General features: G+C 45.1%; 1 protein-coding gene across 32 annotated transcripts in view; it reads right to left on the minus strand.

The window, feature by feature from the left end:
• Positions 1-27582, minus strand: part of MACROH2A1 (macroH2A.1 histone) — a 65507-nt gene that overhangs the window by 16262 nt on the left and 21663 nt on the right. For 5 of the 32 annotated variants that reach the window (NR_174496.1, NR_174498.1, XM_011543730.4 and 2 more), the window contains 4 exons: positions 19394-19500; positions 18764-18961; positions 9855-9962; positions 2304-2403 (listed from right to left, as the gene is read on the minus strand). The exons of 1 other annotated variant lie outside the window; for it this stretch is intronic. Coding sequence is in view for 12 of the 31 variants with exons in the window: in XM_011543730.4 (XP_011542032.1) it covers positions 2304-2403; positions 9855-9962; positions 18764-18961; positions 19394-19500 (513 nt within the window). In the remaining 19 variants the exon portion in view is untranslated. Of the gene's footprint in view, positions 1-180; positions 272-2303; positions 2404-8840; positions 9301-9854; positions 9966-18763; positions 18962-19393; positions 19501-27582 lie in introns of those variants that run through there. 26 more of the 32 variants (NR_174483.1, NR_174490.1, NM_001400401.1 and 23 more) reach the window with 15 other exon arrangements.

Below are 27582 nucleotides of genomic sequence, written 5' to 3' on the forward strand. Positions count from 1 at the left end.
CATCCTGGCTGACAGCTAGCTTTATTACTCAGGTTCACAACCCAGGGACAGGAGACAGGGTCAGGACAGCTGGAAGTGTGAAATGAATGCAGCCCTGCATAGCTGTCAAAGGATCAAGCTGTCTGCAGCGGCCGACTGACCATGCACACACACACTCGGCAGCACCCGGCTAGGCATTACCTACTTCACCACCGATGTAGAAGTCAGTGTTTGTCGGGTGAACGACAGCATCACTGTCGATCGAGGCAATGTCAGCCTGTACAACTTGCAACTATAACAGGTAAACAAATGTATATCAACTGTGTTGGACCGAGACCCACGCACAGGCACATTTACTAATGCCCCAATGGCAGGGCTGGCCTACCTGGTCGATTCCAACATATGAGCCCAAGGGGCAATCAGTCCACGCAGTGTGCGCACATGTGGATGGGGGTGAGGACAGGAGGAGGAGGAATATCAAATGTGACATGTTTAAATTAAACATTTGAATGAGAAGTCCAAAAAAAGAGAAACACACACATGAGATCATTTCCAAAGGTTAAAAGAAATAAAATGAATGCCCCGTTTCACTTCGCAAAAGCCTATAAAGCTGGCATCCCACTGAGAAGGCTACTAAAACATGGCATCTGTTTAAAAAAAAAAAAAGTGGACCATCAGGCCAACCAAAACAACAAGTTTCTCCATTCTGTCTGCAGCAGTCAACTTGCAGGCTTTGATTTTTATTCTTGTGACATTTACCATTTTGTCTACCTTCAAGGGATTTCTCTTGAAAACCCAGAGAACAGTATTGATATATGTAGAGGACTGCCTTTATTTTTTCCCCTCAACATATGGGCCGATCTCTATCAATATTTTTCCAGGCCCATCTCTTACTCTAGCCTATCTTATTTTTATGGTTTAATTTTTTTTTTTTTTTTTTTTTTTTTTTTTTTTTTTTTTACAGATAGGATCTTGCTGTTGCCTAGGCTGGAGTGCAGTGGCACAATCATAGCTCACTGCAGCTTCGAACTCCTGGGCTCAAGCAATCCTCCTGCCTCAGCCTCCTGAGTAGCTGAGACTACAGGCACGTGTCACCAAGCCCAGCTAAGTTTTTTATTTTTTGTAGAGATGAGGTCTCACTATCTTGCCCAGGTTGGTCTCCAACTCCTGGCCTCACTCAATCCTCCTGCCTCAGCCTCCCAAAACGCTGGAGTTACAGGTGTGAGCCACTGCACCTGGCCTTTGTATTTTAGTATAAAATGTGCTTTGGATAGAATCCTTGCTTTTTCTAGCTTGTGGCCTTTTTTTTTTTAAGTATCTGTATAAGGCAGTTGGAAAACAAGTTCAAGCTGGACACTCTTGAGTCCAGTCCTCATGTTTTCAGCCCACTGTTGCACCCAGTTCGTGTGGGTCAGGCCTGGGCCCATGGAATGAGTGTATCTCCCAGTAAGGAAGTCTGCTATCTGACAAAAACAGCAGAAGCTGAGAGCTCAAGGGATACAAAATAGATTGCAGTTGAGGGTTAGGAAGGAGGCTGCATCTGTGTGCCTATTTCCCCTGGCAAGCCTCTACATCGAAGAGCAGCAGAGCAGCCCTGTCGTGCCATTGAGCTGACAGTGCCACATATGCAAAGATAAAGCCATAGAGGCAGGACACTTGAGGGGCACCTCTCAGTCTGCCCTGAACCATCTGCCATCTTGAACAGGGAGACACCATGGCTCTGGGGCAGTTTTCCTCCATAAGAACTCACTTGGAGATATTGCCCTTCTGTTTAATACCATCCTCTAGCCAAATAATTCAAGAAGGTGGCATTCAGTCATATACTGTTTTCAGTTCTAAAGAAAAGTTGAAGTGATGGTAGTAAATTGTGGACTAAAGACAGCTTAATAGCATACTGATGTGGCCTGTCTTCTCTTTCAAGCTTTGTCATTTCTAATTAAGGTTTAAATGGAGAAACTATCATTTTGTAGTTACCTGAGATTTTTCAGTTCTAAAGTAAAAACAAAAAAACAAACAAAAACCAACACGTTTAAAAATCCCTCCCCAAGTAACCAGCAGTCAGTTTGATCATTATGGAAGAGAATTCAGATGGCAATGTATTTGCAATTGAGGAGAGAGTAGCCAATCACACTTAATGAAACAGACCGTTTACACTTGGAATGGCCTGGAGTAAGTTGATATTCAGCGTCTACACTCAAATATCAATCTTGGATTTGGAAATTTGGCTTGACCACTGTAAAGTCTGGGAAGATGAAATGCCTAAATTCTGGGTTCCATAACTTTTCATCTGACAGCTGGTGGTGCCGAACCCCGTCCCCAATTACCTAGGTCATCTTTAAGGTCAATGTCAGCATTGGTAGGATTGATTATGGCCTCCACCTCAAAGCCGGCTAAATTACTGATTTCACTGTGAATAAGGTTCAGCTGCAAAGAAAAGCATGAGGTGGGAAATAACAGGAGAGCTGGGAAGTCTCAGAGAAGGAGCCTTGGGATACAGGTAAAGGACAGTGGACACTCCAAGTGCACGAGGCACAAAAGGGAAGCAGGGAGTTGCTGGCTCAAATGAACCCATTTCAAACATAAGACTCAAATGCTGCTCGGGATGCGGGAGCAAGCAAACTAGGATGAATGTTCAGAGCCCGTGGGTGGCACCTGGGACAAAAGGAAGCACAAGCCACAGTGGACGAGGAGATCAGCTTTCCTTTAAAGGGACTTGTGATCTGGGGGCCAAAGTAAGGCAGCTATCAGGACCTAGAATGAGTACTCATTGCTGAGGGTTGGGGGCTGGTGGATGTGACTGTCCTCATCCTTGAGCACTAGGCTGGTGCTAACATCCTACCTGGCTTGGGCAAACCCCTAAGGGCTCTGCCATTGTCTTCCAAGTGACTATGGGCCTTTAAGGCTGTCCCCATCACTGTGACTGCTGGCTGGCTTCCCTGCCCTGCTCAGGGTGGCAAGAAGTGAGAATAGTCTCTTGCTTAGTAACATTTAATTTACGTGCCCATTAGTCATGTAATGCTGAAGTTCCATGGTGAAACCCAGGGGAGGAAGGTTCTCCAGCAAGACAATGTGTCTTTTAAATGGTTTTCACCTTGTTGGTCAGGTTGCTCTGAGACTCAATGGGTGGCTTATTGAGCATTTTCCTTAAGTGTTATATCCACCCAGTGAATTTGTTCTTTCTGAAGAGCCACTGAATGGGTGTCCCCCAGCCACTGTTATTCTGTTACAATGGCAACCCTGGCATCTGAGTATTCGAAGAATACTGAGTTCGAAATTCTGTCAGAGGGGCAAGGGGAATTAATGGGCCTAGGACTGCTGTCCCAGGTCCTACTATTCCCCTTGCTTTTCTTTAGGTATTGCAGGAAAGCTTGCTCTTGCACATGCTCTCACAATGACATTGCTCACTCTTCAGTAACATAAATTCCTAACACCTGCAGACAAGTGCAATGCCTGAGTAGCCCTAGCAGAGCTGGTGCTCAAGACTATGACCTAGGCCAGAATAGTGGCTGCAGTCTGCAGGGTTTACCAGGGCATGAGGCTTTGTCCAGGAGCTCACCCAGGAGAGGGCTGTGCACAAGACACTTGGCAGGGAAGCTCCTGGCAACAGAGCAAGTTGCTGCATTTCTAGGGCCAAACATTTTGTTGAAAACAAAACCAAACAACCTGGCACTCCAGAAGTATCGGAAATATAAACCCACATTTTTGATTCCCAGAAACAGTCAGATTCTCAAAGAGGGATGTGCTTACACTAAGAGTCATCCTCTGGGAGGAAACAGTTGTGGAATTAAGTTTTGTCAAACAGCCAAGGAAGAATTCTGGCCAGGGCAGTGGACTTCATTTTTGGTTAAAGACTCAGAGAAGAGGACCAAGTATTATTCATATGGACTTTCTGGGTTATTGCTCCTCGCACTATAGAGTGATTTAGAGGCCACCCACACCCTTGAAGCTGAAGGAAGCCATGGGGGTGATCTCACAAAGCGAAGCTCTCAGCAGCTCAGAGCCCTGGCACCAGGACAGAGGCACAGAAAAGAGACAGCATGGGGGCTGGGGCCTGACTGCTGCCACTGGGGAGTAGGGGTGTGGGTGGGCACAGAGTCGGGGGCCTTAGGGTAAGGCAAGTGAACTCTCAGGATTTAGAACAAGGCAAAGGATTTTACTCTATTATTTAGTTCTGCATTTGGCTCCAAGCAAATGCTATTTACAAAAACTCAAATTAAGCCAATACTCCCCACCACACACCACCAAAACACACCCCACACAGTGTGAAGAGGCAGGAGGTTGGTGAGGAAGGCAGGCAAAGGAGAAAAAGACTCGATCTACTCAGTGTAATGTGGATGTGTATGCTTTTAAGGCACCTATAAATTCCTATGTTTAAAACAATACATGTTCAATCCTTAAAATTCACGCAATTTTTTCCAATTGTATAGATGCTTCTGGTGTTATATTCAGAAATGTTTCATTGGAAAAGAAGCTATTTTGGCGGGCTCTGCTTCAGCTAGCCAGGAAGACCCCCTCAGTGGCCTGTATCTGACTCTCTTCGCGGGAGAACCACCTGCTCTGTCTAGGGGAATGGGATTCTCTGGGGGAAACTTGGATTTGCTGAAGGAAGGGAGCAGTTGCGAACAGAACTCAAGCTCATGGAGAATTCTCAGCTTCCTTTGGACTCACTACCTTCCCTTCTGACCAGAGGCATCCCCACTCTTGGAAGTGCAGACTACAGTACCTCAGGGAGCCACTACTACTCAGCATTGAGGATTTCCTGCCAACCAAGTGCTGTTTCACTCTTCACATCTGTGGATGAGGCTAGAGCTGTGATTTTCCAACTATGCTCTGCTATGCACTGGGGCTCAGCAGAAGTCCTCAGGGTATGCAGCTGAGCCACAAAAGTTTTTTTGCTGTAAAATGTGTACAAATATGTATTTTTAAACAATCTTGACTAGAAAGTGTGTGCTTGGGATGTGTGCATCAGGGGAAGAGAATGGGAAGGGGAGAAGACAAATTAATTCAAGTACTTTGGAAGGACAAATGGGTAATCAGCTTGGCAGGTGGGCCAGTGGGCAGAAGCTGACAGTGAGATGATCATGAACGAAGACAGTAGCTCCACTATACAGAAGAAAGCCCATGAGCATAGCGTGCAAATGGACCAGGTACACATGTGTCTGGACAGGCTCCCACTGTCCAGTCACAAATGAATAAGCGAGATAGAGCCAAGACAGAGGTCCAGTCCTAGGAGGCCCCAGGGTCCCCTCCCACCAGCCAGGGTCAGATCCAGTGGGGTTTATCAGCCAGAGGGGTGTGTGTCCATCTGAAGTACATGGCAGAGAAGTGGTCCTTGTGGGTTAGGAAATCAGATTTCTGGGAACTGTAAAAATTCCCAAAATTAGTCTGATTTTCTGGGAGGAATAAGGATCATTAATGGTTTCAGAATTTGAATAAGGTGACTGCTTCTTTGTACCGTCGTTAGGAAAGATGGAAAACTAAGTTTTAAACCACAGCATGAGGAATTTAAAGCAGCTATGAAGACTGTTAGCCACTGAGGAAAGTAATCATAGGGCACTGCCAGTTATAGAGCAGAAGGGGGTCCCCGCGTGGCTGCACAGTTGGCAGAAAGGGTCGTAGCCAAGGGACCTTCAAGATCCCTTCCAGCACTGGGATCCGATAATCCTAACCTCACTGGCTCTGCTGGGCCAGCTTCTGATACAAGCAGTACCCGAGTCTTCCCTGTGGTGAGGATGTCCGTGGAAACCCTTGTTCTTTACTCATGGTATATGCTCATCAGAGTATAATCTCTTTGAAGGCAGGAGTGGGTGTGGCCCCCTAACCCTGAGTGCTGCACAGTGCCTAAGCCAGTGCTGGGGTTCCCCTGGGCATGTAGAGTTAGAACTGAACATCAAACATCCTTAGATATAACTCATAAAATGACTGCCCCTGCTTGCTTTCCTTTAAGGCATTGTTAATGGAAATGCCAGAGCTCAGAAATTGAGCCCTGGGCCTGGCTTGTATCTGAGGTGGCTCAGAGCCAAGCTGTCCTCGCCTGGATGGGAGGCTGGCCCCCACCATTTAGGGCAGGGCAGGAGGCGGTCTGTCGATGATGACAGGGAAGGAGTGTCTGGATGGACATGCAGACTGCCTGACCTGACCTACTTGGCTACAGGAAATAGTACATTCCTTCTTGGTTCTTTTAAAAAAATATGATTAGAAACCCAATTTTAGTTAATGAAAGTGGCTGTTAAAGATAGTGCCTGAGTAGTATGTTAAATCTAGCCTGTAACTGTCAGATTTTGGTGTCTCTCATTTTCTCATAACAGATAAGGAAGGAAGCCTGGCTGACCACCTAAAATGCAGTTATTTTCCTGTCCCCAAAGTTCACTTCAACGAGGGGAATGGGAAGGGCAATGTCTTCCATAGGACCCTTTCCAGTCTCCTCCTGAGAGCTGTGTCTTCCCTGGGGCACACTCCAGGGCTGGCTCCTGCCCTCACAGCTGTGCTGTGTGGCTCTCCCTGCATGCATGCATGCCCAAGCTGGATTTCTCCAGAGGCCTTGGGCCGGGCAGAATCTAGTGTGTCCAGCTAGAAAGAGCCCCACAAAGATAAGGACATGGATAGATACTGCTGGATGTCCAGATGGTCGATAGCTGAGCCATTCCTTCATGGCTTTGTCAGTTTCCTAAACTGTCTCAGAAGCCAGTCCTCAGCCATAGTGGGGGGAAGGGGTGAATGGTTTTTCTCCTCACTGATGCTTCAACTTCAAGAGCTCCCTTTCTCCTCACAGTTCTTCCAGCTCCCGGGAGAAGGGTATGTGGATCAAAGGGAGAAAACCCATGGTACGTTATGCCCGCCTTGAATGGCTTGCGAGCTGGGGTTGCCATCTTGATCATTTGGGAGGTAAGGAGACTCATCACAGCCTCAGACTGCCTTCCTAACTCCTTCAAATAATACTGACTCTGACAAGGAAACTTAAATCATTTACCATTTACCATTAAGTCAGTGTTACCACTGACACATTAGACACATTAGAAATGTTTTTTCTGAAAATTTTAAAACCTCTGAAAAAAGGCTGCAAATCTTGGCTGAACACAAAGCAAAAGCATTTAGTTGACTCAGATTCACAGCACTGATTTCTTTTTTAAAACAATTCAACAATGTGTGTGAACATTGGGCAAAATCAGAGAGTAATGGCTATGATGACTCCTGAGACTTCAGTATGTGAAATACATCATTAACATCAATGGTCAGGCTCCTAAGCCTGGGCCATGCTTCCTGAGTAGCTTAGCAACCATGCCTTACAGGGCTGTAGCATGCACAATATCACCTTTCTCCACCCCAGCTTGCTTGCAATCTTCAAGCACTGGTTTCAGTGTCACAGATAGAAAAATGAGATTCATAGGACACAGGGTACCATATAGTCACCATTCTAAAGTACCCCTTTTGAAACATTTCCTAAAATCCAAGTCAAAATTAATGTCTATAATATTTTAAATGTGCTTTTTGTAAAAACTGTGTGTTAGTTTCATGATTTTTGCCTTTTTTACACTATATGCCATGATTTTCACCTGACAGTAATAGCCAATAAAAAGCCAGAAAGTAATGCTTCAAAATAATGCTCTAATGTATCAATGCTCACTCCGTCTCATGCTGCAGGGGTGTAGGATTCCAGAAAGGGCAGTTGGAACCCTAGTTTCTAACACTGGTGCTTAGGCTGACTTAAGATGCTGCTTTATTTTGGAAACATGGAGTTTATTCTGCTAAACAGTGTCTGCAGCACTAGATTTTTGGGTACCTCTTCCTGGATATGTGACTCTTGGATCATAAAGTCACAAGCACATTAAACAGGAAGGGCAGTTTCTTGGTAGCCTGGTGTTTTGTTTTCACCACTAAAAAGGGGGTGATATGGGAAAGAAGGCTAGGTGGTCTGTCTGGGTCTACATTCAGCCCCTCTTATGGCTGACCATTTTATACTGGGTGGCAGCTTAACCATTCCTTTCAAATTTTCCTTCCAAAAGTCAAGATAAGCACATTAATTTCACTGTTAAGCTAAGTTCACTGCTTTCATTCTCCATTTTTAAAAATAACATTAAATGATATGTTTGTAATTTATTATAGAGTATCAATACTTTTCTATGGCTTTTTGTATCCTCACCCTACCAACTCTGAGTAGGGAACAGTCATTATTAGCCAAAATTTTACTCTACTGTACTTTATTTTTATTCGTGTGATGCCTGGCCCTGAGACCAGATGTATCTGAAAAGGAAGAGTTGAGTTGCTGAGAGCTGACATGTTCCTGGCTCTTGGGAGAAGCTAGCAAGATGTCTGTGGTGTTTGCCCCCTCCCCTCCAGGGCTAACAAACAGAGCCCAGAGGAGGCCGTGATCCCATTTCTTTCAGAAGATCACAGCAACAAGAAGGGCATCTGCATTTTGCATGGACATTTTTACAGCCATATTTGCTGCTACTTTGGAAATATTTTAGTTCATCCAGCAAGGGAGGTATGAGGAATTCTGATCTGAGGCTGCCTTTGGAGTGGCTGGCAGGAGGTAACAAGAACATAGGCAGGGGAGAGGCCAGGGTGGGAGTGCCTAAGGGCAGAGTGGGGAAAAGAGGGAGAAGGTGACCCCAAGGGCTGAACTGCTCTGTATTTCAAATGGAAGTAATGTGGATGGGTCACGTTAACTTTCAATACATTACCCAAGGAATATGTTACAGGGGTGAAAGTAGACCCAGGCAGTTGTCTTCACTGCTGAGTCGAAATTTTTAAAGGAACAAAAAATATTTTAAAACAAAAACTTTCAAATCCCCAGACCTTAAGATGACAACTAGTGCTACTTTTTCTTTTGAAAAATGCATACAAAATACAAAGAATGGTTAAAAATGTAAACAGTAATGGTTATTTTCTGGAACACAGAGTCCACCACAGGAATTGCATCATGAGAGAGAGTGCAATTAGTGACAGAAAGAGGGAAAGGGGTAGGAGGAGAACTTGCAATGACGTGAGCGAGGGAACCGTGTCACTGTGATGCAAAAGAAATTGACAGTGAGGGTTTAAAAATGATGCAGCTTCAGATCCAAGTTTGTTACCACACTCAAACTAAACACAGATTAACTTGGAACGTCAAATTCATTCCTTTAATTCTTTAAGTATAGGATTAAAAAATTAAGAAGAGTTTAATTCTTTCTTCCCACCCCTTTTTGATGTCAATAAAGAAATATTAGTTAACTCTCATTCTCAGGTCTTAAAAGCCTTTGCATCATTTTTATTTTCAATAAAAGTGAATTGTCTTTTACAAAACCATGGCGTCCTGGCAAAGTTGCATCACTGGGGCGGCTGAAAATATATTGCCCATGGTTAAAACAAACAAACAATTAGCTGGAAGAGTCATCTGGTGGTTCAGTGAAGAAACCCAGTGCACCCATCAGTACAGTCTGAAAACAATCCCCTGTAGAGCCCTGAATCAGACCTGAGGCTCTACCGTTAGTGCCCCCCAGGACAAGCAGGCTGCCGGCTAGGTTGTTCACCTTCCACCACCAAGGCTTGACTTCTGCCTGATTCCCTGGCTGGTGCTATCTGATGACCAGTTTATCCCACAGAAGCAGCTCCTCCTCCAGACTAACCAAGGGTCCCCATCTCCCACAGGAGCTGCCTGCCCTCTTCTTTTTTACCACTGTCTCCCTTCCCCAGCTGCCAGGGTCCTCCCTCAGCATTGTGGCCTCCCCAGCATCTAGCCCTCCCTGAGGCCACTCCCAAAGCTCACAGCCCACTCTGTCTACCCACGAGGCTGGGAGTGGCCCCCGGGATCCCCCCAGCCTTCCAGTGGAAGTAGCCTGTGCCCACCTGTCCCTTGGGGCCCTCGAGTAGACTGAGGCCGCGCATCTGCCTACCTTCTGGCCAAGGAAGAGGCTCTTGGTGGAGAGGACTGTGAAGCCGTCGGCAGGTGTGCCCTCGGTTGTGCTGTCGGCGCTGGCTGCCTTACTGACTTCACCCTGCTTCTTCTTGCACAGACGGAAGGGTCAGAATGTGGGCCACACAGACACAGGCATCCTAATAGAGAGGCAGCTCCCAAGCCTCACCCATAACACCCAAGGGGAAACAGGAAACTAAACCACAACCAGTTCTCAGCGTTTCTCCAAGGGGGAGCTCAGACTCATTTTGAGGTACAAGAGTTCTGTGGAGTGTGTTAAGTTATATGTTAATCACTTTATGATCGTAAAAAAAAACCAGCCACTTAAAGGTAAAACTTCACTTTACAGTGATCATTTAGAATAGAACCATTTTCATAAATTCAGACCAAGTAAATGTCTCTTAATTAAGGATCTTTAAGTGTCTTTCCTTTCTAGATGTCTGTAATACTATTCAAGCTTAAGAAGAAAAACTGTTCTAGGTCACTAATTCTCAAAAAGCCGACTAAGGACTATAACCCTCTAACCTTCCTGACTCCAGAAGGTCAGACTCGCTTCCACCCTTCCTTCCTTAAAGCCAGTGTTAGAGAAGGACGCATGTGGTGGCTGTGATGAACCATCTGTCTCCCTGCAGACCCCTTGACCCATGGTTCTTGGCTTGGTCTTCAGCTTCTTCCTCAGCATTATTAAGACTGAAATATGTATGCCCTGGAGTTCCCAAGGAACTTCTGAGAGAGGTACATGACATGGAGAGTTTAAGAAAACAACTTTCCGATCCTCTACTTCCTAACATTTTCCTACAACTGATCTGCCGTAAGAAGTACACCTGTGGTCAAGGTGCCACGCCAGAGCTCCTTTCATAACTACCCTCCTCCCACTTCCCAGAGTAAATACTAATATGGCACACCACTGTGGGAGTAGGGATGCGTGTTTTTGGCATATTTCTATTAAGGACAAAGCCTGTATTAGAAATGGATACTTTGGCTAATTTGGAGATTTTCTGCATTCAAATAAATTGTAGAGTAAGGATAGTGAGAACAACATTGGTTTTCATTTAGACACTTCACCTTTCCCTTCCCCAAATTATTAATAAAAAGTACTTCACTCCTGAGGGAGGGTCTAGTGGGAGAAAATCCAGAAAGAAGGGGTGAGAAATATTACAGATGGCCATGCTTTCCTGAAGGATAAATCTGAATAAACTCTGGGCAAGGCCTGTGTCCTATCCATTTGCCTATTTAGGATTCAAATTCATTAACAGGAGCATATTAACATTTTTTACTTACAATGAAAAGTAAGGTCTACTTTTGCTAATGGCTTTTAACAATAAGGGCTGCTTTAGCAATTAGGTTATATGGCAAACATTTTTTCTAAATTTAGTGAGCTAAATCTCAAGTTCCAAGGTTATGCTATAAGTAAGAGAAAAAGCACTTTATCAAGAAATATAGTACTGGCAAATATACATTACAAATTATCACTATTTTGATTTTCCTACTGAGTGTTTAACATTTGATGAGTGAAAGAGAAACAGGTATAATCAACAATTATATGGTAAATCTTAGTGAAGCCCTTTTTGATATACTTTTCAGGAGCCAAGAATAGGAAAGGCTGCATAACAGACTTTCACAAGTCAGGTGTTTTTAATCCTGTGCTTTCAACAAAACTGAAGCAATACCTAATTGAGTTAACAGCTGATAGATCTTCAGAAAATAGACTGGTGAAGTTAACAGTAATGGACCAGTGTTGATTTCCTTGTTGTGACCATGTGTACCACGGTTATGTGAGATGTTAACAATGGGGAAACTGGGTGAGGGATATTCAAGAACTCTCTGTACTATCTTTGTAACGCTATGTAAATCTAACACTATTCTAAAATGTTTATTAAAACAAATTGATGAGATTACACTATGTATTGTTGGCATATATCAAAGAGTTCAGAGGACTGAATGATGTTGCTATAACAAAACCCTTTCCATTTCAATTTTTTTTAGTGAACAAGATTTTCCAGACATTCATACCTAGAAATATATAAAAATAGGATGCTAAGCCCTGTTTCATTTCAACAATAAGTAATATTCATCTGAGGATACCTGAACTAGTTAGGGGGAAAAAATCCACCCAGCCCATTACAAGATGTTTTTCCAATAAAATTTTACCTTTTCCTTAACAGTTATTAGAATTTGTAATGCATTTGTCAGTTTGATCAATTGTATATTATTAATAAATGTGCTAACTATCCAATCTTGTAGAATCTACTACTTAATGCTTTTATAAAAGTCAAAAAACACTTTTTCAAAATTGAAATTTATATACATTATTTTTGTTGCAGAACTAAAAAATAGAATAGAAATGTGTTACATTAAGATGAAAGTTTGTGGGGCAAGCAAAAGAGAAATAAGGAGAAAATAATGTAAATTTTCCAACTGTTAAAAACAGTCACAGGACATAAAAGTGATAGTACTCTGAAGTTTGAACTCTGAAGTTCTGTATTTGGGTCCTGGCTCCCCCAACAGCATGACCCGAAAACTGCTCCCTTTCCCTAAGCCTTAGATTCCTTATTTGGAAAATAAGACTGGGTCTGGGAGTGGTGGCTCATGCCTGTAATCCCAACACTTTGTGGGGGGCCAAGGCAGGAGGATGCCAGCCTGGGCAACACAGCAAAACCCCACTGCTACCAAAAATACAAAAAAAAAAAGAAAGAAAGAAAATGAGACTAAGACTGGAGAGTTCCTGATTAAACGACTGGCCTTAGAAAGTAGTAAAGCACTCCAGAGACAAGCCATCACTGCCTGGTCCTATATAGCCTGCCCACTTGGCAAAAAACTTCTGCCTTTTCCCTTCAAGGTACCCACCCAACGGGACAACAGGGCAGGTGCTTAAGGTCGTTACAGTTGCTTGTGAGGTGTTAACACATTCAAATCATAGCAACTATGCCCAAGTTTTTCATAAAGCCTATTGTCTGAAATCATGTCTCTTCCTAATGTTTTGGTATTAAAATGCCCTTTCTTATGGCTGCATAGTATTCCATGGTGTATATGTGCCATATTTTCTTAATCCAGTCTATCATTGATGGAAATTTGGGTTGGTTCCGAGTCTGCTATTGTGAATAGTGCTGCAATAAACATATGTGTGCATGTGTCTTTATAGTAGCATGATTTATAACCCTTTGGGTATATACCCAGTAATGGGATGGCTGGGTCAAATGGTATTTCTAGTTCTAGATCCTTGAGGAATCGCCACACTGTCTTCCACAATGGTTGAACTAGTTTACACTCTCACCAACAGTGTAAAAGCATTATTTCTCCACATCCTCTTCAGCACCTGTTGTTTCCTGACTTTTTAATGATCACCATTCTAACTGGTGTGAGATGGTATCTCATTGTGGTTTTGATTTGCATTTCTCTGATGACCAGTGATGATGAGCATTTTTTCATGTGTCTGTTGGCTGCATAAATGTCTTCATTTGAGAAGTGTCTGTTCATATCCTTTGCCCACTTTTTGATGGGGTTGATTTTTTCTTGTAAATTTAAGTTCTTTGTAGATTCTGGATATTAGCCCTTTGTCAGATGGCCTTTGTAGGGACATGGATGAAACTGGAAACCATCATTCTCAGCAAACTATCACAAGGACAGAAAACCAAACACCGCATGTTCTCACTCATAGGTGGGAATTGAATAATGAGAACACTTAGACACAGGGCGGGGAACATCACACACCAGGGCCTGTGGGAGGGTGTGGGGCTGGGGGAAGGATAGCATTAGGAGAAATACCTAATGTAAATGACGAGTTAATGGGTGCAGCAAACCAACATGGCACATGTATACATACGTAACACACCTGCACATTGTGCACATGTATACATATGTAACACACCTGCACATTGTGCACATGTACCCTAGAACTTAAAGTATAATAAAAAAAAATGCCCTTTCTTCTATGAAATGGAATCTACTAAGTGGTAGATTATTTTCATATCTCAGTTTGGGGGAAATAAAAGTTAGCAAGCAATTCTGTCAGCTCCAGAAAGACTGTTATAATTTTATATTGTCCTACAAACCCATAAATTTCCATGTATTGGACACTCGCCCAGCTTTGTTCTGAGCAGCAGAAAACCTGTTAGGTCAGAGTCAGCTGGGAGACATTTAAGAAACTGTAGAACTGAGCATCCAGAAAGACTTATGTAAAATCATCACCCCATGTTTACCTATGTTTAGTCTCTTATTCTAATGTTTGAACAACCTAAAATTTCAATAGAAGGCCAGCAAATTTTTCTAATAGTAGCTTCTCAAACGAACCAATTCCTTTCTCTGGCTTCCCTTACCAGAACGTTAATCACTCAATTTGCAGTTTAAATATTTATTCCTCAACAAGAGAAAGAGGCACTCTACTAAAATCACCTTGGGCTTTTGCCAGGTGGTAAGGAGCAAGCCTATATTTATGATCTAGGAGGGTAGTTTTCACATGGGGATAGGGTGAGGTTTGTTGATGGTTTGTGTTTGAAAAAATCCCTGGTGAGATCATTATTTATCCAAAAGTTTGGCAAAAACTGGCTTCTTAGAGATCCCCTGAAAGTTATCCTATGATTCTTAGCGTACATCTGATGGATCTTAACCTGAGGGACAAAATTAGGCATAGTTTCCTTTGAATTTTAGGTATTTTATTTTATGCATTTGGAATCTTTATCTTGAGTAAGGGTCCCCAGGCTTCCCTCACTGCCAAAAGTATCCATGTTACAAAAACGTTAGGGATTCCACAGGCAAGTCCTATCACGTTCTCTTAAGAGGGGCCAGGCATGCTCCCACCTCAGGCCTACTTGCCATTCCTCTGCCAGGAGCTCTCTGCCCCCAGTCACTTCAATGGCCAAATACCTTACTCTGCTGGGGCTCTGCTCCAGTATCATGAGAGTAACCTCACCTCACTGCCTATGTAAAATAATACTGGCTCTGCCATCACGCCACTTTATTTTTGTCATAGCAGCTACTCCCTCCTGCCTTCTGTAATGAATCTGCACCTCCTCCCTGAACACTGAGGGAAGGCAGGGACTTTGTTCTCTGCCACATCTCCACTACTGAGAATAGTAACTAGTGCATACAGACTAGATACAAATTGGTCTAATGAATATTCATTTTTTAAAAACTCAGTATTAAATGTTAAAAAGATGAGGCAGTTTTTGAGATTAATGTAGTTAAAATGCCCTAAAAGTGAGTAATAGCCAAAGCTAAAAATATACTCACTCTTTGCCTCAGTAAGTTCACTTTGAGGACTTTATCCTATACATTTACTTGCATGTGAGGACAGAGATCCACAAACAATGACAGTTACTGTTTGTCAGAATGAACGCTACAACAATCTAAAAGTCCACTTGTAGAAGGGTGATGATATGGTTTGGCTCTGTGCCCCCCACCCAAATCTCACCTCAAATTGTAATCCCCATAATCCCCATGTGTCAAGGGTGAGACCAGGTGGAGGTAACTGGATCATGGTGGATGGTTTCCCCTGTGCTGTTCCCATGACAGTGAATGAGTTCTCATGAAATTTGATGGTTTTATAAGTGTCTGGCATTTCCACTGCTTGCTCCTGTCTCTCCTGCTGTCCTGTGAAGAGGTGCCTTTTGCCATGATTCTAAGTTTCCTGAGGCTTTCCCAGCCATGTGGAACTGTGACTCAATTAAACTGCTTTTCTTTATAAATTGCTGTCTTGGGCCTTTCTTCACAGCAGCGTAAGAATGGACTAATTCAGCTGGCTACACTGTTTTTATATATCACATAAGTGACCAGTCATCCTATGCAACACTAAAGCAGCTCTACATGCAGAGACATGGAAGGACTGCCCAGAATATGACAGGGGCAGTGAACACAGGTGCCAGACATGGTTCTATGCACTTCCATGAATTCTGTTAAGCCTCACAACCACTTGTGTTACATCTCCTTTTTAAAGATGAGGAAACTGAACACCAGAGATGTTCTGCAACCTGCCAAGATCATGCAGCTAGGAAATAGCTAACCCCAGAGCCTGCACCCCTAATCACTATGCCACACTGCTAAAATAGGGGGCTCATACGATTTTTATTTAAAAAAAAAAAAAAGAGCAAGTAGGATGGGGAGGGATTTACATCTCTATATGCTTTTATATGCACAGACTTTCTGAAAGGAGACATAAAAACTCACTGAGTGTGCCCTGGGGAGAAGTAGGGTGAGGGACTACAGTGGGAGCAAAATTTTTTTTACTGCATACTCTTTTGTCCAAACTCATACATGTGCCCTACTCAAAAACATTATGTAATATGCATACGGTTACTGAATTGTAAGGCTGGAATGGACCTGATCATTTTATAGATGGAGGTAAATTGAGGCATAGAGAGGGAACAGACTTGCCTGAAGCCACCCAAGTAGAGAGGAGCCCTAGTGTACAGTCAGGCTCTGGACACCCAGCCCCTGGTGCAGTTTGTTGCCTTCTCCAACCATTTCCACTACAGCTGACTCAGCTGTCACAATTGGAGATTTTCAAAACCTCCAAATTATGTAGAATTGTGGGAAAAATTATGATTTGGAATTCAAGTGTTGACACCTGAAAAATACCAACTCTCACTACAAGTGCTTTAGCATGTTACTAAGGCTTTCTCTGCATGTCCCTGGAAAGGTTATTTTCAGAACATTCCACTTAAACCTAGAGATGCAGGCTTTTCTGCTGTTTCTGGGAGCTGACACCACAATTTACATTAAACAAATGTTTTGAAAATTAGCTGTTCACGGTTCCAATTTCAGCTTCCCCCAGGGTTTAATGTTAGCCAAATACTGGTACAGTAAGTAGACAATGTGTTTTATTGTGTGGAAGAAAAACAGACCACCATAACAGGCTTCCTGCTTTTGTAATCAAGGGAAATTTGAGTGGTCGAGTGATTATTGGCATATGGTTATTAGAAACACTAAGTTCCAAATATAGCTACTAGGAGCTAAAGACACCCCCACTCCAAATACTTCAAGTCCAAAAAGTAAGATGAATTCCTAGTGTTTACTAAATTGGAAAGTTCAGAAAGTCATAGAACAAAAACTACTAGGGGAAGACTAGAGTAACAGGAACAAGATTCAGCCCAGGTTTGCCAGCAGACACTGGCATCTGAGAGACCCACTCAAGTATCAACAGTGAACGCATGAAGGAGGGTGATGGCTCAGGACACAGCCAGGGCAAAGGCTAAGCTGAGGACGTGGTCCTGCCCCTGCTGGTCCTCAGCACCAAGGGCCCTGCTCTGTGGGCAGCCAGGTCTCTGGGGCTCATAATCAAAAGATGATAGATTCAGTATCTTCGTTGCCTTTTTAACATTTAGAAAGGGTTGCACAAGCACTTTCCTCCTGCCTTCCCTTCCCCGCCCTCCTCCCAAATGCATATGTTGAAAGGGAAAAAGAAACTTTCCAATCTGCTAATTCTATAGTTAGCAGGAATGAGCAGTGGCGCATTCTGTGAAATCCCTGCCTGGCCTCAAGCCTCTTCCAGGACTTGTGAGCTAGATGGAATGCAAGTGTCTGGAAATAACTTATAGGACACTCCTCAATATTGGGTTTCTCTCTCAAAGAGCTGGGAGTGATTCTGGGCCTAAGGGTGGGTGGCATGTTGGCAAGAGGAATTTAGATTTTGTGCATGCAAAGAAATACAGCCTCTTTCACCTCAACTAAAAGCCACAAACAGTGTGGATGCAAGAAGGTTGGGGTTCACAGAAGATGTCCCTGCATGCGGGTGAAAGCCAGTCTGCCTGAGGCACAGGCAGGCTCAAAGGAGAGGACATGCTGACAGGACAGGAGGAGCTCTGTTCACCTGGTCACAGCTCCTTGAGCCTGTCCTGGGAAGGTGTCCTCACTGTCTCACTCAGGTGAGAGGATTTGGGCTCATGTAGGAAGAACTTCCTGACACTGCATCATTAGATTCCACAGATGCATTTCCAGGACTTCTTATTGAGGGTCTTGCAAAATACAGAGGTCACCTTCTGCCATGGGTAATTTCCTCCTGATCTGGCTGGAGGCCAGAAGGAGGACTCCTTAAGGGGTACCTCAGAGCAGGGCAGCCTCAAGATTCCATTTTCTTAGAGACCAAGATTTGGTGGCACTGTCCATTGTTTGTTGGCTCTGGAGGCTGTGACAACTGCTGACAAGTAGGACTGGGCAAAGAAGGAACAAAGAAAATGTATCCCAGTTGCCTTGTAGTCTCCAGCTCATGCTCAGACAGGTGAGCACAGCAATCACAGGCCTGGACCTCCGGAGGGTGCTCCTCCACACTGAGGATCATGACCTGGAGTCTGCTGGCCTTCTCCACCCAAGATGACATTAGATAACACTAATGAGAGGGTTTCCAGCACCTAGGACCCAGCCAATCCAAGTTAGGCCCAGGAAGAAGCACCTGAGTAATACATCCATTTTCCTCCTTGACAGAGGCAACCATTCTGGAGTGAACTGTCTAGAGCGCCCTGATGGAAGACATGCAGCCATGGCAACATGAGAGTTCTGCAACTGAGCATCAGGGCATGCAGGTAGCTGGCCACAGGACTAGACAGTGGCTGTCCCCTAACACAGGGAAGCCCCCTTCCCACAGGTGTGTGCATCTCCCTGGAAGGGCCAGCTTGGGAGTCCTTCCAGCTTGACACTATCCCTGAAAGCCCACCACCCATCCCCCTTGCCTACAGAGGTTCTGTCCTTCAACTGGGTCCAGACTCTGGGAGGGCCTCCTGACTCTGGCTACTTGTGTTGGACTAGCCCCTCTGGAGAGTAATCAGCTCCTACATGTTCCTCCTTTATTCTCCCATCAGTGGGATGAGCCCACAGGGGGAATGAGGGGGGTGCCCTGGTAACCCTGTTTATCCGTACCCCATCCTATCCCACTTCATACATTCTGGCCAAATCACATACCTTGGATTTCCGGGCCCCTTTCTTGCCTCCTGCTTTTTTAGATACAGGCTTCTTCTGGGATGGAGACTTGGCCTTTTTGGCTGGGGGTGGTGTGATGATGGCTTCCAACTTTCCTTTGGATCCCCGCTTCTTCGCTAGCAACTCGGGGTGGATGTTGGGTAACACACCCCCACTGGCTATGGTGACTCCTTTTAGCAGCTTTCAGGAAAACCAGAATAGCAGATAGTGAGCCAGATACCCTGCTTCTAACCTTCAAGAAGCCAGCCCTGCCCAGGACAGTCTTGCTTTGGGTTGGTGCAGCTCCTTCCTCCATGGCATCCTCCATGAGGATGCTGCCAGGACTCAAGCTCACTGCTCAGGGATCCAGTCCCCAGAGTCCCTCACTCAAATGGAATTTAGATCATCTCTCTCCTTTCGGGAGAGCCAAATACCTTGTATTATCCTGCTTCCCCCAACACTCCCAATAAGGCCTTGGGGAAAAACTGCCATGGGAGGCAGAGAAGCTGCTAATTAATCCAAAAGGCAGTCCACACCTTTCATAACCAGCCAACACCAAAGCCTCTCAGCTATGTTTCTTGGGCAGTATGACCACCTGCTCAAACATCAGTGGGAGATGGGAGAGGCCCATACCTGATTCAGCTCTTCATCATTGGCCACAGCCAGCAGGATGTGCCGGGGTGTGACCCGTCCCTTCTTGTTGTCTCTCGCTGCATTGCCAGCCAGCTCCAGAATCTCCGCTGTGGGGAGCAGAGATGAGTGTATGGTCATGTTAGAGGACCATGTGTCCCCGCCCCGGTCCCCACATTCACAGTGCCAGGAATGGGCAGAGGCAGCTGCTTCAGGAAGCAGCTACCCTGAGGTGAAAAGCTGTGGGCAGAGTCACAGAGGTGCTGAATGGCAAAGCTGAGTGGGACCTAGGAAGCCCCAGGTCCAATGCCCTTGTTTGGGAGATGAAGGAACTGAAGCTGAGGGAGAAGGGACCAGCTGAAGATCACTGAGTGAGTGAGTGGGAGGGCTGAGATCTGAACCCAGTTCCAGCTCTCATTTCCCAGAAAGGGTGCTTGCAGTTAGCACTGCAGATGTCACCAGGGCCAAACCCAAAGTCCTCAGTGTGGTCCCTGAGAGTATACCATGCCTGCTTAGAGTTTCAAGGACAGGATGGCTTGCTATTGAGGAGGCCTGTTAAATCTTTGTTGATTACATCAATGCTGAATGCCTGCACATCTGGATGCAAAACTGGAAGGATGTGACTGGATTCTTTACAAAGTCAACATCACAAATACATTTTTTAAAGTGTGTGTGTGTGGGGGGAGGTTGTTGTAGATTCAAAAGGTGAAAAAGATGTAAAAGCCAAATATAATGTGTCACTCCTTGATGAAATTCTGATTCTTTTAATAAAAGCTAGGAAAGTCATTTTGGAGACAACTGAAGAGCTCTGAATGTGGACTGGGTATCAGACACACGGGATTATTTTCTTAAGTGTAATAATGGTATTGCCATTCTGTAGGGAGCATCCTTGTTCTTAGGAGATACATGCTGATGTATTTAGGGGTGAAGCATCTTGATGCCTACAACTTGCCCTCCATTCTGAAAAAGCTCTAAGGAATAAAGCAAATATGGCAAAATGTTAACAGTTGTTAAATCTAGGTATATGATTATAAGAACATTCCTCTTTCAAGGAAATTCTGTCATTTGCAACAACATGGATAAACCTGGAGGACATTATGCTAAGTGAAATAAGCCAGGCACAGAAGGACAAATATAGCATGAATTCATTTCTATGTGGAATCAGGGACTGGGGGTGGGGTCGGGGCGAATGTTGGTCAAAGGACATAAAGTTTCAGTTAGAAGAAGTTTTAATGATCTATTGTGCAGAATAGTAACTATAGTTAACAATCATGTATATTTAAAAATTGCTAAAATAATAGATTTTAAAAGTTCTTAACACAAGGAAACAAATATGTAAGGTGATGAAATCAGTGTATTCTTGACATTCTGTATGTTTGAAATTTTTCAAAATAAAATGTATGCAAGAAAATAAAAACTAGAAGGGCTATGAGCATAACCCATAGTTAGTACTAAGTTAAGAGCTGATTTACCTGCCATCTGGGCACAGTCTCACAAGACAAGACAGGTTTTCCACAGCACCAAAGATGGTGGGAACTAGGAAGTACCCTTTGGCAAAACCTGGTTTTCTCCTTGGCATTACAGTTCTCTTGGTAACCTGTCAACCTCATCACTGTCTCCTTGTTTTCTTAGTGAGGCATACGGATAGACCCAGAATGGATCTTATATTCTCCACTTCTGCAATTCTGCCCACACTGGGATGTCATTCTAGGCTACCCTTCTGGGCCCAACTCAAATCTGACCTCCTCCCAGTACTAAAGAATTTCTAATATTTAGTTATGTTGTAAACACTAGATTTCTCCAGCAACACCAGCACTCAGAATCATTATGAAATAACTAGGAAGAAAATTCTAGCTGCATAAAAATCGTGTGTTAAAAATTTACGGTATGACACAGGGCATGCATTTTTAAGAGGTACTAACAGCTCCACCCAATGCAAATAACCTGCTGTATGTGTGTAAAGCTGAAAAATTGCTTGGCTACTCAAGGAAACTCTCATATTAGCTTTGGGGGCAGGGGCGGGAGGAGATCAGACACACTTGAAATAGCAGGTTTCCCCCTAAATCCAAGGCAGGAATTCCTTTGCTCAGTAATCACCATACTGATGACACACAACTCTGTGCTTGGCAGGAGGGACCCAAGGCACCAGGAGGCCCCTGTCTTCTCAGTGTTCCCAGGCCTGCAGGGCTACACATGCCAGTGATACAGAGAGTGATAAAGAATGCCACAGGGTCCCTTACCTGGGCTTTATACATGTGAGAGCCACAAAACTAAGGCAGGGTGGAAGGCAAGATAGCCAGTGCTTACATGGAATCTGGTGGAGGGGCTCACATTTCCCACTTTCACCCATCAGTCTCCACAACGCTATTCCCTTCCCTGTACCAGTGTCAGCACAGTTTAGTTTACCAGTGGAGGAGGGAGATGGCCACCCAGCATTTTCACTGAAGCTTCCCTATCATTGATCGTGGTAGTGTCCCAATGCCCAGCAGTGATGGGCCCACCTTGGCCAAGCCAAAAAGGTGCCTGTGATGCCTATGTGACCTTGGGCCCTGGGTACTGTGAATGCAGAAGCGCCTGCCTGGCCAGCCCAGCTTGGCCTTCATTCTCCTGTGTTCATGGGCGGGAGAGCACATCCGTAATGCCACTGTCCTGCCCACGGCCCAAGAGGATGCCAAACCAAGAGTCTAAGCCCAACAAGAACACAGAGCCTGGGAGCAATGGAACATGAAGGAGAGTCAGCCACGATGGGTGCTGGGCAGAATCCTCACGGCAGGAAGGCCTGAGAGGCATATCAAGCACCACTGAGCTGTAGCCCACTTTGCTGGCTTCCCCTCCCTTCCACAACCTTCCCCTTTTGGAGGCCACAACGAAGTTTTGGGCCATCGGTATCTGCAGAGCCAGAATATACAGGAGGAGGCTGATGGATTACAATCTTCTGACCATAATGTGCCAAGAATGCTTTATCTGCCCCCTCATTAACAGAGAGGAAGGGAGGCAGAAGGAGAATGCCCACAGTGGTGACCTGTTTTGCTAAGTCCTAAGCCCAACCCTTTGGCAAGAAAATCGTTTGAAGGTACAGTTTCTCAGGAAAGTGGAGGTGGCCTGTTTCCTCTTCCTGCCCAAAACGTTGGAGGAAGGCCCTCCCTGAGAGAAGGCTCAGTGGCCGTTGGTGGTCGGGGAGGAGGGGAGGGATGTGGTCTATATTTTCTGCAGTGCTGCCTTCACTTTTTTTTTGTGCAGGAAAAATGAGAATGATGGATAAAAAGACCTGAAGAGTGTGGTTGGGCCCCTGACTTGGGTGAGGGCAGGTAGTATGTAAAGAACAGAAAGCAACAGAGTAGCCCAGAAGTAAGCACATCGGGTTGAGAAACCTGAAAATGGATTCTCCAGGAGCTAGAGGACATTATCCCTGGCTTCGCAAGCTTTACCCCTTTATGCTCTTACTTTGTGACTGAAAAGTTCAGTAGCCTCAGTTTCTCCATTAGAGAAACTTGAAGGACCATGCTTATGTTTTGCTATTCAACTGGGAATCAGGGATGCCACACTGGACCAACCTGTAAGTGACAGTGAGTAGCAAGGTGGATAAGGAGGGGCAGAAGGAGGAGCATCTCAGCTCCTTAGAAAGAGCTGGGCAGGGATGTCATTCTGTTGCCTTCTTTACCAAGGAGCCCCAGAATCCAAGACTCTTCCTTTTTGCAAAACCCCAGCTCATCTTTTATCTGCACAAGCCAAAATTACTGCCTCTCCATACTCCTACCACCATAGGGTGGGCCCTCAGCCCTGTGGGTAGGGAGGAGGGAGCTGTGTCAAGTAGGGATAACAAAGAGGGGCACAGATCCACCTTCCAGCTAGTTAAGCAAGAGCTTTATCTTCTGTTTACTCTTGCATTTTTTTCAGATGGATAGTTACCATAGTAACCCCATCGTTAAGGGACACACAAGACAGAGCACCTCAGAAACACACCTTTTATGAGAAGTATATTCAGTGTCCCACCCCTCTCCTGTGCTGCAGCAGCAGAGGGCCGGGGCATTTCACCATGGCCAGGGAAAATGGAGGGTGCCCGACTTAACAAAAGCAGTAACCCAGAATACACACTCATCCCCTGCCAACCATCAGTAATACTCACCCTCTCATCCTTAGTCCAGGTTTAGAAAAAGCCATCGTAAAGGGCTTTCCTGGCTAAGAAAGAGTTGCCTGCTGCAGAGACAGCAGAGGTGCAAAATGCCAGCAACTCAACAAGATGGAACGGTTCCCATCTGCTCTCCAGGGCATGTTCCTATTCAGGGGGGAGCGGAGAGGGTGACTGACTGCTGAGGAATTGGGACAGGGCACACGTCACCAAAGGAGATGTCCTGATGTAGTTTTCTTCCCTGTAAGTGATCCTCTGCTTTGCAATAATATGGAGGGCAAAGTCATGGAGGCCCCAGGCTCAGGGCTGTACAGCAATGCCTGCCTGCCCCCCATGCACACTGGGATGGCCCTCACATTCCCACCAGCAAGGAGGGCTTTCTCCTAGGCTAGAACAGAGCCAACTTAAGCCTCTGCCTCAAAGTGAATGGAGCCGATGCCTTCCTACAAGGGGGAGGGTGGGTTCTTGCACTCAATTCATTTCATGTTTTGGAAGGTTTTGTGAGTCTCTGTTTTGTCTGTGGCTGGTCTAAAAGAAAAGCGATTCTGAGAAAGATAACCAGGAAAACACCAGATCTATGGACACAAAAATCCTTTTCTCCAGAGTTTCCAGAGCTCAGCCCTTGGATTCTCTCTTGAAGGAAATTTTCAGGAGCCACAGCCTGGAGGCTGTAACCAAAATAAATGGAATCCATAAGAAACCACAGGAAGAAACGGAAAAGAACAATTAGGAGAAGAAACAGAACCCCTTACCAGGTTCTCCACCCCATCAAGCCAAGTATTCTCAGTCGGTGACAGTCTAAGTTTTGTTACCAATGACCAATACTAGACTGATTTGGGGCCCAAGGCGCTTAGGGTCTGCTCTGAAGAGGACTGTAAGTGTGGTAAAGTTCCCAATTATAAATGGTGCAAAGGGAACAAGTTGAATGGTGAGCAAACTGGCCAGCTCATTAACTCTTCTAAGATTTTTGTTTTTCAAAACACATAAGCCTCTGGTTCTCACTCCTGGCCAGGGCCAGTCTCTGGCAACTAGTGAGTGGCTGGCACCATCATCTGTAGTGGCCTAGATGATGCAACCATATTCCCTCTCCTCAGAGCTGCAAGCCCTGCAGGGACATCCTGGGCCAAACGTTCCCCAGCTTCATTGAACATGACTGTTTTAAGGCCGCTTGACAAAATTCCCACATCCTTGGATAACAGCATGGTTTGGCAGCCTTTTTGACTACAGACCAGCCGTCTGAACATGAATACCTTTGACAGGTCTACTTTGCAAGTCCACCCAGAGACGAAAGGCTTAGGGTCCTTTTTCTTTTTTCCAAATGTCTTGAACTAAAACATATCTGTTGTATTGAAGCATTTTGTCTATCTTCCTTCAGCAAGATGAAGTCATGGTTTGCAGAATTAGACTCCTAACAGCTAACAGGTGATGTGTTGAGGCTGAGCCAAACTCTAAACACAACCCTTGCAATAGGAAAGAGTCAGGGGCTTTAACGGAGCTGTCTGAAGCTCTGTAAAACAGAGCTCATTTAACAAAAGAAATACTGAAAATAACAACCAGAAATCAAAGAAAAGCAAATGTTCACGTAATCCCAAGGAGAAAACATGTTTGCTACAAGGCCAACAACATGACAAGGAATCTGTTTATTGTATTTCTTTCGATTCATCATCCTTCCATCAGCAGTCCTTTGAGTTCAGAACTGTTTTACACCATCCCAGAAGGCCTTAACCCAATCAACCCCAATCGGAAGGTGACTGCTAAGAGCTTCCTGCATTCTGACCACACCACAACCTCCTCCAATTCCCTTGGTGGCTCTGAGTGTTTGCAGCCGCATCCCAGAATCCATTGCCCCCATCCCACCTTTTCAGGAGGTTGAGTGGCAGGGTCTGAAGCTTGCCCAGCCATCAGCTGGGAGCTCTGGGCCACAGCAAAGCTCTCCATCTGCTTGTCCCAGGGGCCTCAAAGGAACCAGAATTCCATAGAGAAAATAAAACCTACAGCAGTGATTGAAAGTAGTATTCCAAAGATGGTTCCAAGCCTGACACAAACTCCTCTACTGTTGTTAAGCCCACTGCAGACTCCTCCGAAAAGTCCAGGAGGAGCCAGGGGTCTCAGAGACAGCATTTGGTCCAGTCTTCTGCCTTCCCACAAAGTCTCCCAATAAGATGGAAATGCAGCTTAATTTGGGAATCTGTAAAGTAAGTTCCACTGACTGGAACTTTCAGCCCTATTTCAAAGTAAAAAATAAATAAGTTTACATTATACATAATAACACAGGGGAGCTATGATTCTTAGCAAACATTACCTTAATCTAACCCACCAACCCAACTCAGTGCCCGAATATCTTCCTTGTCAGGAAGTTTTCCTCTGCCTTCCTCACCTCTGGTGCTGTTTCAGCTGCCCGCTCTGTCTGCAGGGGAGGGCAGCAATCGCAAATGGCACTGTGGTGAGAGCCCGGGGTCTGCTGACAGACCGTCGGGGTTTGGATCCCAGCTCCTGTAATTATCTGTAAGATGTGGCCAAGTGCATCTAAGCCTCAGTTTCCTATTCTGTACAGGGGGAGTGATACCTGAGGTTACCTCTAGGCTTATGAGATTAATGAGTTACCAAGTAAAATGCTTAGTATACTCAGTAAATTCAAGCTACTACTGTTGAGGCTACAACTGCACTGTTAAAAAAGTGCGACAAGCTTGATTACCAGGAGAAAACTGCACTTCCTTTGCCTCGATTTCCTCTATCTATAACTGGATGATTTCGATGGATGGATTTGTGCCAAAAGGAGGAAAAAAGCAACAGAAAACCTGGTGTTTCCTCTGCCAATAGTTTACTCTTTGCTGTTATGCTTAACAGTTAACATATGTTTGAAAAATGCACTTGAACTCGATTAACCTCGGTGCTGCCAGACCTGCCTTGATGGAACACAGCACCCAGGGCGCCCCCACAGGCATCTCTACCTTGGAATGAGGTCTGGGGCTTTTGTCTGACCACAGCAGAGCGTGCAGAGCCAGTGGCTCAGGCAGTAGAAGTCAAGGCCCTGGGAAGGAGAAGGTGCCTGGGGAGGCCCTGAGAAACCTGTTCTACTCCAAGGCCTGGCTGGCAGCTGGGCAGGACCTCTGACCCACCAATCACTTGCTGTCAAGGACTCTCAATTAAGTTACAAGGAAATGGTTAATATGTATGTTTGTTTTGATAGGGAAAACCACAGCCATTTGTTCTTAATTCATCTCAGGAAGGGGTGAACAATCAGCGATGTCTGCTGAAATGAAATGATTTGAAGAGTATAATGTAAAGAGGAAACTCATTTAAGGAGCCCTGTCATGGTACGGTTTCCCAGATGGACTCAAAGCGAAAGAGCGAGGAGCAGAACAGTGAGTTTCGTGGGCTGCACTGTGTTGGGGGAGGAGGCGACGTCTGCAATCGGGCTACACATGTTCATCAAGACAGGGGAGCAGCTTCGCCCACTGGGAGCAGAATCAGGGACTTGGTCAGAGGGAGACGTTTTGCTCTACTCCCTTTTGTGCTGTTTGAATTTATCTTCTGCATATTTTCCTTTCAAAATGAAAATAATTATAACACTGGATAGATGAGAAGCTGCAGGCACTTCTGCTATCGGCTGCCCCAGCTGGCCTTTGGTACCACAGGTCACAAGCCCCCTTACCCTCAGACACTCTGTCCCAGCCTGCTTAATCCTGCTTCTCCCAAAAAATGGTTCTGAGCATGCGAAGACTTTCTAGGTTCTTTTTTCATGGCTGTTTTTAGAGCAGTGTGAGTGTGTCATAGAAAGGGAGGCCCCTGAGAGGGCACTATAGCTCCTGAGGTCTTTACCAGCCTGGCCTCTGTGCTGTCTGCCGGTGTGGATTCCCGATGCTGAGGACTGCTTGTCTAAGGATTTGCCTAAGCTCCAACACCTAGGATTCCACCTCCTCTTCGCTAAGGGGACAATGAAAGGACATTGGCCAAAAAGCTTCCCACTCTCCAGCCCTCCTCAGTGCCACTGAGTGACACAAGCTCCCCATACCTGACTGGGCACTGCCCTCTCCGACGCCTGCTGTGGCTCCTCAGGGCA

The sequence above is a fragment of the Homo sapiens genome, chromosome 5, assembly GCF_000001405.40.
Source record: "Homo sapiens chromosome 5, GRCh38.p14 Primary Assembly".
Lineage (NCBI taxonomy): Eukaryota > Metazoa > Chordata > Mammalia > Primates > Hominidae > Homo > Homo sapiens.